The sequence below is a fragment of the Homo sapiens genome, chromosome 3, assembly GCF_000001405.40.
Source record: "Homo sapiens chromosome 3, GRCh38.p14 Primary Assembly".
Lineage (NCBI taxonomy): Eukaryota > Metazoa > Chordata > Mammalia > Primates > Hominidae > Homo > Homo sapiens.
The window spans coordinates 98,323,361-98,332,565 of record NC_000003.12 but is presented as its reverse complement, the minus strand read 5'-3'; the positions used below and the strand labels follow the sequence as shown (position 1 = coordinate 98,332,565).

Sequence of the window (9,205 nt, the reverse complement as noted above, 5' to 3'; positions counted from 1 at the left end):
CTCAATTTTTTTCCGGGCCAAACCCGAGCTTCTCTATAATTGCCACCCCTTAATATTTCTCCTGTATCTTCTCCATTTAAAAAATAATGGTGATTTCATTTTTCCAGTTTTTTCCATTTTCCAGGTGATTTCATTTTTCCAGAACAATGCCTGATACATAATAAGGATTGACAAAGAATAACCTTGGTTTCCATATCCCAGGACTATGGTTTGAATACAAGCTAACCAGAACCAAACTGAATTTTTTAATAACTGATAATAGTAAAAGAGAAGCATGCTTTGTGGGTGAAGAAAAGCTGAAGCCCAGGTCTGAAATGTTAAGACTCCTACACTCACTAATACCTTGTCCAGACCGCAAATGCTATACGAAAGACAGTGTGTGATTTTACTCTATGTTGTCGTTTCTGATTGTGCCTACTTGGATCTTCTCTTTTTCTTTGTTAATCTAGTTAGGGGTCTATCAGTCTTAATTATTCATCTGAAGAATGAACTCTTGGTTTCATTGACCTTTTGTGTGGATTTTTGCATCCCAAATTCATTAAGTTCTCTAATTTCACCTACTTATTTTCTGGTGCTGGCTTTGGAATTGGTTTGTTCTTGTTTTTCTAGTTCCTTTAGGTGCAAAGTTAGATTGTTAATTTGAGACCTTTCTGACTTCTTGATGAAGGCATTTAAGGCTGTAAACTTTTTGGGTGGATCCCAGTGATTTCGGTAAGTTGTGTCCCTATTTTTGTTTATTTTAAAGAACTTCTTATTTCTGCTTTAATTTTGATGTTCACCCAAGAATTTTCAGGAGTAAGTTGTTTAATTTCCAGATATTTGTGTCGTTTTGAGAGATCTTTTTAGTACTGATTTTCTTTTTATTGCACTGTTGTCCAAGAGTACACTTTGTACAATTTCATTTTTTTGGTTTATTGAGGTTTGCTTTATGACAGAGTATATGGTTGATCTTAGAATATGTTCCATGTGCAGATGAGAAGAATCTATACTCTGTGGTTTTTGGGTGAAGTATTCTATAGATGACTATTAGGTCTAATTGGTCAAGTTTTCAGTTTAAGTCCGGAGTTTCTTTGCTTGCTTTTTGCTTGATGATCTAACACTTTCAATGTGGGTGTTGAAGTCTCCCACTATTATTGTGTGATTGTCTAGGCCTTTTTGTAGGCCAAGAAGAAGTTTCTTATGAATCTGGATGCTCCAATGTTGGGTGCATACATATTTAGACTAGGTAAGGCTTCTTGTTGGTTTGTACCTTTTATCATTATACAATGCCCTTCATTCTCTTTCTTAATTTTTATTGGTTTAAAGTCTGTTTTATGTGATATAAGAATAACAACTCCTGCTCTTTTTTTTTGTTTTCTGTTTGCATGGTAGATCTTACTCTGCCCTTTTAATTTGAGCCTGTGGGTGTCATTACCTATAAGATGGGTCTCTTGAAGACAAGAGATGGTTTTTTGACTTTTAATTCAACCTGCCACTCTGTGTCTTTTCAGTGGCGTGTTTAGCACATTTACTTTCAAGGTTAGTATTGGTATGTGTGATTTTGAACCTATCATTGTTTTGTTAGCTGATTGCTATTTAAACTTTATTGTGCAGTTGCTTTACAGTGCCTGTGGGCTATGTGTTTAAGTGTGCTTTTGTGGTAACTGGTGTCATTCTTTCAAATCCATGTTTAGCACTCCCTTAAGGATCTCTTGTAAGGCTGGTCTCGTTTAAATATATTACCTTGGCATTTGCTTGTCAGAGAGGATTTTATTTCTCTTCAATTATGAAGCTTAGTTTGTCAGGATATGAAATTCTTGGTTAGAATTTCTTTTCTTTACAGACACTGAAAATAGGTCCTCAGTCTCTTCTGGCTTGTAAGGTTTCTACCGAGAGGTCTACTGCTAGCCTGATGCTGTCCCTTCTGTAGGTGACCTACTGCTTATCTCTGGCTGACTTTAAGATGATTTCTTTTGCATTGATTTTAGTGAATCTGATAACTGTGTGTCTTGGGGATTCTCGTCTTGTACAGTGTCTGGCTGGGATTCTCTCTATTTCTTGGATTTGCATGTCAACCTCTTTGGTGAGATTAGGAAAGTTTTCATGGACTATCTCCTCAAGTATATTTTTCAAAGTTGCTTATTCTCTCTCCTTCTCTCAGGAATGCTGATGAGTTCTAGATTTGGTCTATTGCATAAAGCATATGTCTTGGAGGTTTTGCTCATTTTTCTTAATTCTTTTTGCTTTATTTTTGTCTGACTGAGTTGATTCAAAGACCCAGTCTTTGAGCTCTGAGATTCTTTCCTCACCTGGATCTGTTTTGCTGGCAATACTTTCAATTATATTATGAAATTCTCATAGTGAATTTTTCAGCTCCAGAAGTTTACTTTGGGTCCTTCTTAAAATGGGGATTTCATCCTTTAGCTCTTGAATCATTTTACTGTATTCCCTGGCTTCTTTGGATTGAGTTTCAATGTTCTCTCAATCTAGATAAGCTTCCTTGCCATTCAGATTATGAATTCAATGTATGGTCATTTCAGACAATTTAGGCTAGTTAAGAATCATTTCTGGGGAGATAGTAAGGTCATTTGGAGGTAAGGGGATATTCTGGCTTTTTGAATTGCCAGAGTTCATGTACTAATTCTTTATCATCTAGAAGTGGTGGTATTCCTTTAATTTTGGTATAAAGTGAATATACCAAATTGGCTTAGTTTCTGGAAGTTTTCAGAGGGCTAAGGCTCTGAATAGGATCTCTTGCTGAGACAGGATCTCTTGCTGAATAGGATCTGTTGAATTCTTGCTCTTAGTTTCTCCGGGAGGGAGAATAATTTTTGGTGGTGTGGTTAGGGATGTGATCCAGCAGATGGCGCCTGAAGGCAATGGACAGTAAACAGGCTTTAGTCATGCAGTTCCTTTGTGTATCTTCACGTTTTTTTATCTGTTCTGTGGTGCAAGGGAAGAGCTGTGATCCCCTCACCAGGTCTGCTCGTGGGCCTTGGGAAGTCACCTCCGATTGCTGGCACTCTGCCTAAGATTTTTGTTGTTGTCATTGTTGTTGCTAAGTCTTTCAGGCCATGGGGCTCCCTTAGGGAGAGGCCAGGTAGGGAGATAGGCTGCACCCTTACCAGACCAGCCCTGTGGAGCCAGACACAGCTAGGTCCCACACCAGCCTTCGAATCTGTGCAACTCAGCCCTCTCAGTCTTCCGAGAGAGTGTGGGATCCTCCTCCTTTCAAGTGCAAAGCACAGATTCCACCTTGGCACTCCTGAGCCCACATCCTTGGGGCGCCAGGACCTGTTCTCAGCTCCCTCCTTCGGATGCTCAGGGTTGGGTTCCAGGTGTGGTGCGTGATTGCAATGGCTCCCAGCTGGAACGCACTCAGGTGGAGCAAAGCATCTAGGCTGGGTAGTGGAGGTTGCACTGTGTAACTGCTCCTTCCAGGCAGCCAGGCAGGGGCTCTGGGAGGGTCTGGTGCTCAGTCAGCCTGCAGAACAGATGTGCCCCAGGCCCACGGGGAAGCAGGCCCTGCTTTCTCCCAGGGGTTACCTGGGGCTAGACTTTCTCAGAGGCAGACAGGCAGCCCTGGCTGGTGGGCTTTCATGACTGGGTTCTGCTGGAGCTAACCTGTGCTCTGCTCCATCTAATCTCTGAGAGATCCCCCTTGCCAGCTCACACATCCTAGGGGTGTGGGGCCCCTGTATTAGGTTCCCAGAGGTTTGTGGTGAGAGTGGGCAGTCCTCCAGTCCTCTCACGCACCGCTTCCTCAGGTGCTGTTCAGGGCTGGGAACCAGTTATAACATTCAGGCATCCCATGAGGAGTTCCCAGCTCCCTCCCTCTTCAGCCTCAGCAACTGCATCTTTTCTGTATCCATATTTGGCATTTTCTCTGCAAATAATCTGTTCAAATTATGTTGGTGTAGTTGAAATCATTGTCTTTTCCTGTGGGAGTAGCACTTCAGCTCCATCTAGTTGGCCACCTTGGTAAAACCTAAATTTTTAAAAATTAAATACCTTTTACTGTGCCAAATAGCCTTCAGGAAAGGGAAACTGGAATCAGGCACACTAACAAGGAAACTTAGTTACTATTGTCCAATGTGTCTCAGACAAGATTATATATCAGAATAAACTGGGTACCTTTTTTTGTGCAAAATATGGATTATAAGGTATTACTGTAGAAATAGTAGTTCAACAAGGAGGCCTAAAAGTCTCCATTTTTAACATGCTCCCCAGGTGACTCAAATGCATGCAAAGTGCTTAGTCCTTGTGTGATATGACTTTGGGGGTGATAAGGAGGACAAGGCAATAGATTCAAAAGAATTTAAAATGTAGTGTCATAAGGACTTAATGACATTTTGGATATGTAGGGGGTGACCAATGAAGGAGAATGGAATTATATGGGCTGGGCAGATGGCCATCAAAAACGCAGATTGAGAGCTCAGATGCATTGGCAAATTTGTGGAAGGAGAATGTAAAAAGTAAAGCAGAGGTTCCTCTTCAAAGACTTTCCTCCCCGTCTAATTAGGAATAAATAGTAACTTCTCTTAGAAGCAAAATGTATTCAAAGACCTGTGCTAACATTCTTAAATATCTGCTAGCCATAATAAAGAAATCAACGTACTTTATGTTCTTAGCTTCCACAATTTAGCCTAAATATTTGCCCTGGCATACTTATACTGGTCCAAGCAAGCGTTAGGTCATAGCCTGTTCCTCTTCCTTATTTAAAAGTGTTTTTACCTTTCTCAACATTCCACAAGTGACTTCCTCCTTTCTTTGTTCTCCTCTACCTTTGCCTCTTTTAAAAAGTTCTAAGTTGCTAGCCAATCGGGACAAATACAGAATGTGAGGTCCTGTTCCAGCCCACGGAAACCCGACACAGCAGTAGGGTGGATGCGTCAGGATGCATCTCCTTTTTTTGGTGTACTCTTGTGGCAGAACTGCTGGTGAGTGTACCGTTTCTACAGGAAGTAAAAATGACCTTACTAAATAAATTAAATTTATGTTCAAGTGCTATTTCTTTATGGCACGGGAACAAGCATTTCAAACAGAGAATCATCTGAATATCCAGGTCAGATGAACTTAGTAGTATGAATTTACTGGAACTTACTAGAAATAATGACTTGGTTTGGAGTAGATGAAGGAATCATTATGGAAGACCTAGCAATTGGAGAGTACACAAAGTGGAAGGAAAAACTCAAGGAAGTTGTATTACAGAGGTGATAATATGTATATGCCTCATTTATTAGAATTATTAGCCATCCCCTTTTCATCTACATGTGTCTTGGTGGTGGGAAGAAGTTACCACCCATTCTAGAAACCAGAGAGGTAGAAACACACTTTCACATTTATCTTGCACCTAGAGTGAAACACTTGATCTGAGTTTGGCCAGTCAAATTGTAACTGCCAGAGGGCTTCTTCCTGCTTGCTGCACAAACAAAATCAATTCACAGAGATGATGGCATTGCAGTAAAGGAAGAGTTTAATAGACATCAGGCCAGCTACACTATGTGGGAGACAAAGTTAGTACCCAGATGAATCTCCCCAAAGGCCTGTAGTTAGGGGTTTTTCAGTGGCAGTTTGGGGGAAGGAGTGGGGGTGGCCAGGTAATGGGTGCTTACTGCTGATGTGTTGGGTCAGAGATGAAATCGTAGGGGTTTGAAGCTGTCCTTCTGTGCATTGAATCACTCTGAGTGGGGCCACAGGAGATGGGTTGGTGGGTCCAGGTGGAGCCATGGGTGTCAGACATGCAAAAAAACCTGAAAAGATATCTCAAAAGGCCAATCTACAATACTGGTATTATTTGCAGGAATGGTTGGCAATCATTTATGTCTATACCTTAGCAGAATTCAGATTCCTCTCCTCCCCCAACCTGAGGGCCTTTCATTAGCTTTACAAAGGTTGTTGAGTTTTGGGGAAGGCCTATTATCATTTAAACTATTAACTAAATGTCTGTCAAAGTTAGTTCAGCCCAAAATCCCAGGAATAATTAAGGGAAAGGCATAATGGGAGGTGGGTTAGATAGATCTCTTTTACTGCCATAATTTTCTTACTGTTATAATTTCTGCAAAGACGGTTTAAAAACCAACCCTCCATAGTTTTGCAATTTGGAGAGGGAAGATAAAGGTACAGGAACAAAAGAGAATTTGGTAGCAAAGGCAGCAATGACAAGACTCTAGCTAATGCATCCTTGACTTTGGCAACAGTGGCATCAGCAGTGGAGGCTGTGGCACCCAAGTTCAGCAGCAGGAAGAACAGCCCTCATCAGCTAGTGTTGGAACGTGGCTTTAGCTGTTGACTGGCTGTCTTGCTTCCTTCTGTTTCTGCCTATTTTTCCAGCTGATCCTCCAACTTCCTTAGCATTTCTATTTTAGACAGATTTCCATGTAATAAACTTACTTCCTGTTGTAACTGAGAATCCTGGCTCAAACAAAAGAGAGACAACAAAGAGACCAGAAAAAGATACTGAAGGAAGTGATCAGAGAAGCAGGAGGGAAACTGGAAAGCTGAGAGTTGTAGACATAAAGAGGGAAGGATACTAAAGAAAGACAAAATATAGTACAGGGCTAAATGCCAAAAAAAAATGCTACAGCAAGACAAGGAGTGAGAAGAGATCTTTGAGTGTGAAAATTAAAAGATTTTTAGTGATGTTAGTAGAGCACTTGCGTCAGAGTTAAGGTCAGAGAGTAATTCAAAATAAATGGGAAACAATGGAAAATGCTACAGAAAGCTCCATGAAATGTGAAGAATGGTTGGCATGTTTTTACTGCCCATAGACAAATGTAAAAAAGAATTTCCCATAGAACAATTTAATAAAAGTTTTCAAAGGAAGAGAGGAGAGGAATACATTTAAAGGAGAAAGGGGACAGAGAAGTGGAAAGAGAATTTGGGTAGGTGAAAAGAAAACAAGATGGAGAACAGAGAAATAAGCAGAGAATTATGGGGTCGTAAATGGAAAAGTGCAGGAAAGACAAGCCAGAGAAGCAGAGGGGAAATACCAGAGAAAGACTGAAGTGGAAAAAAATGGAAAGGCTCAAAGGCTTTAAGATAAATATTTATCCTAATGAAGCGGCATTGTTTGTCTGGGGTAATATCTGAGGTTCGTTGCCTCATGCCAAGGAAAACAAGGACGCGGACACACCAGAGTGAAGTTAAGAGCAGAAGTTTAAAAGCAAAAGAAAGAGAAGAGCTCTCTGCGCAGAAAGGGGTCCCGGAGAAAAATGGGTTGCCAGTTTCATGGTTAAGTGCACAGGGTTTTGTAGAGGAGCTTGAGGAGGCAGCGTCTGATTTACATAGGGCACGAGAGATTGGTCAGGCCAGGTGTGCTGTTTGGATAGCCTGCAAAGAAGCTGGCCGCCCCACCCTAATCTTTTACTATGTATATAAGTTCTCTACCTGGCTGGCACCACGTTGCCTACTCCCTGACTGCACACGTGGTGACGAAGAAAAGCAAAGAAAACGGAAGATGGCGCCTCCATGTTGAACATGCCTGGCTCCCAGGTAGCCTATTCCTGTCGGCACAGCCGCCAGCATTTATCTATGCAAGCTTCCAGGTTGCTTATCTATGTTTGCAGCTTAATATTTCAGGCTGCTCTTTGTTAGAAAAGAAATGATTTGGGGGCTGCTTTTTATTAAAAGGGAAGCCTTGCCCAGGACTCCTTTACCCTCACTGTCTGCCTAAATAATTTCTTCTTAGCTCCTGTATCACTAACTTTGGTGTTAAAGTGTCAACTCTGGGAATCTTTTCTTCTCTTTTAATTCAAATTTCAAAGTTCATTTTCTGAGCAGAATTTGTGTTTGAAAGGGAGATCTGACTTTAAGTTTTACTTTACAAACTTCAAGTTTTTTATTAATATATTAGCATTATCTGAAAGTTCTTTCCATATTTAAAAGGTTATCATTGTGATTAGTTATTAAAACAGACTTTTTCTAGTAATTCTGCCGGTTTTACTTGAAAGCAACTTTTTCTCCCCCATTTTTATTAGCAAAAGAAAGTTGAGCCAAAGCCTTGAATCTTACTTAGGATATAATAAGCGGTGCTGATAATTCCAGTTGCTAAACGTATTTTTATTTGGAATAGGTCTTCCTCTGTATAATCCCAAATCAGTAAATAATTGAGAATTCTTTAATTCATTTTGTTTGGGGTTACTTATTATGTCATAAATACTGGAAATAGTATTAGAGTAGCGAAGGTGTATTTTCTGCATATTTTCCACTATATATTAAATAATCAATAAAATAATAGAAAGAAGTGCATGGAAGGATAGAAGAGTTAATATTTAAATGACTTAGCTAAAAGTGTTAACCAGAGTTGTGGTTTATGATACAGAATGAGTCTTTTTATAAAGTTATCAGAAAGATTTCCATATAAGAAGCATTAGGACCCAAGTCTTTAAACCCAGTTTTAAATTGTTTAAAGTTCTAGTTCACCACAACATCTCTTAAAAAGTCATTATAGTGAAAGTAAGAGGTGAGAAAATATAATTAGAGAAATTAATTTACCTTTGCAGCTATTTTGCATATTCAGATTGTAGTTCATGAAAATAAAATAGATAATTCACTAATAGCTTTGACGTCTTACATCTGGCTATTTTGGCATCTTGTAAACCCAATCTAAATTTACTATAAATTAAACAGCATTTTCAATCTTATATGTAAAGAATAACAAATATTATATAAATCATTTCTGTCTTACCCATATCTTGAAAGAAATGGTCAAAATCCTTTAAAAGTATTAGGTTTTCTAAAGTAGAAAAAAATACAACAGTACAGGAATGACAATAACACAGGTAGCAATTCTTTGTACATAAATTTGCTATGGAGGCTTCATTTCCCACATTCAGAAAAATGTCATTTATATAAATTTGCTTTAAGTGGAGGAGTCAACCAATTGCATGTACTACCATGTGCTTTTGACAGAAGAGGGAGGAGAACTGAAACTCCTCTAATAGCACCCAAGGGTTCCCTTTAGGGCAAGTTAAGATGTATTACTGGGCATTATAAATTTGAATGTGTATAAGAAGTCTAGGCTGTCCCACAGGGCATTATAGACTTTGAAACCATAAACATCAAGTCATTGTATATGGGTCTAGTTTAACAATTGAAACTGAAATTGCACTTTGTGCCACTATTTTCTACCATAGATGACACTTCCCACATGTTTATGTAAACCTCGGATTATATATAATATTCCTTTCCCTGTGGTCTTTGATTAGGCAGTCTTGTCTGAGTT

At 39.5% G+C, this 9,205-nt stretch overlaps 7 annotated features.

Annotated features, from left to right (window-relative positions):
• Positions 2,631–3,367: an enhancer, noted in NCBI's record as "H3K27ac-H3K4me1 hESC enhancer chr3:98048043-98048779 (GRCh37/hg19 assembly coordinates)". NCBI's record gives its function as "activates a minimal SCP1, AML or CMV promoter by ChIP-STARR-seq in primed H9 embryonic stem cells {active_cell/tissue: H9 hESC(primed)}" and the evidence as "EXISTENCE:reporter gene assay evidence [ECO:0000049][PMID:30033119]".
• Positions 2,820–2,939: an enhancer, noted in NCBI's record as "active region_20134". NCBI's record gives its function as "activates an Ori minimal core promoter by ATAC-STARR-seq in GM12878 lymphoblastoid cells {active_cell/tissue: GM12878}" and the evidence as "EXISTENCE:reporter gene assay evidence [ECO:0000049][PMID:35858748]".
• Positions 3,000–3,079: an enhancer, noted in NCBI's record as "active region_20133". NCBI's record gives its function as "activates an Ori minimal core promoter by ATAC-STARR-seq in GM12878 lymphoblastoid cells {active_cell/tissue: GM12878}" and the evidence as "EXISTENCE:reporter gene assay evidence [ECO:0000049][PMID:35858748]".
• Positions 3,368–4,105: an enhancer, noted in NCBI's record as "H3K27ac-H3K4me1 hESC enhancer chr3:98047305-98048042 (GRCh37/hg19 assembly coordinates)". NCBI's record gives its function as "activates a minimal SCP1, AML or CMV promoter by ChIP-STARR-seq in primed H9 embryonic stem cells {active_cell/tissue: H9 hESC(primed)}" and the evidence as "EXISTENCE:reporter gene assay evidence [ECO:0000049][PMID:30033119]".
• Positions 5,467–5,526: a silencer, noted in NCBI's record as "silent region_14554". NCBI's record gives its function as "represses an Ori minimal core promoter by ATAC-STARR-seq in GM12878 lymphoblastoid cells {active_cell/tissue: GM12878}" and the evidence as "EXISTENCE:reporter gene assay evidence [ECO:0000049][PMID:35858748]".
• Positions 5,534–6,132: an enhancer, noted in NCBI's record as "NANOG hESC enhancer chr3:98045278-98045876 (GRCh37/hg19 assembly coordinates)". NCBI's record gives its function as "activates a minimal SCP1, AML or CMV promoter by ChIP-STARR-seq in primed H9 embryonic stem cells {active_cell/tissue: H9 hESC(primed)}" and the evidence as "EXISTENCE:reporter gene assay evidence [ECO:0000049][PMID:30033119]".
• Positions 6,742–7,941: an enhancer, noted in NCBI's record as "CDK7 strongly-dependent group 2 enhancer chr3:98043469-98044668 (GRCh37/hg19 assembly coordinates)". NCBI's record gives its function as "activates an origin of replication core promoter dependent on BRD2, BRD4, P300/CBP, MED14 and CDK7 cofactors, with strong dependence on CDK7, by STARR-seq in HCT116 cells {active_cell/tissue: HCT116}" and the evidence as "EXISTENCE:reporter gene assay evidence [ECO:0000049][PMID:35650434]".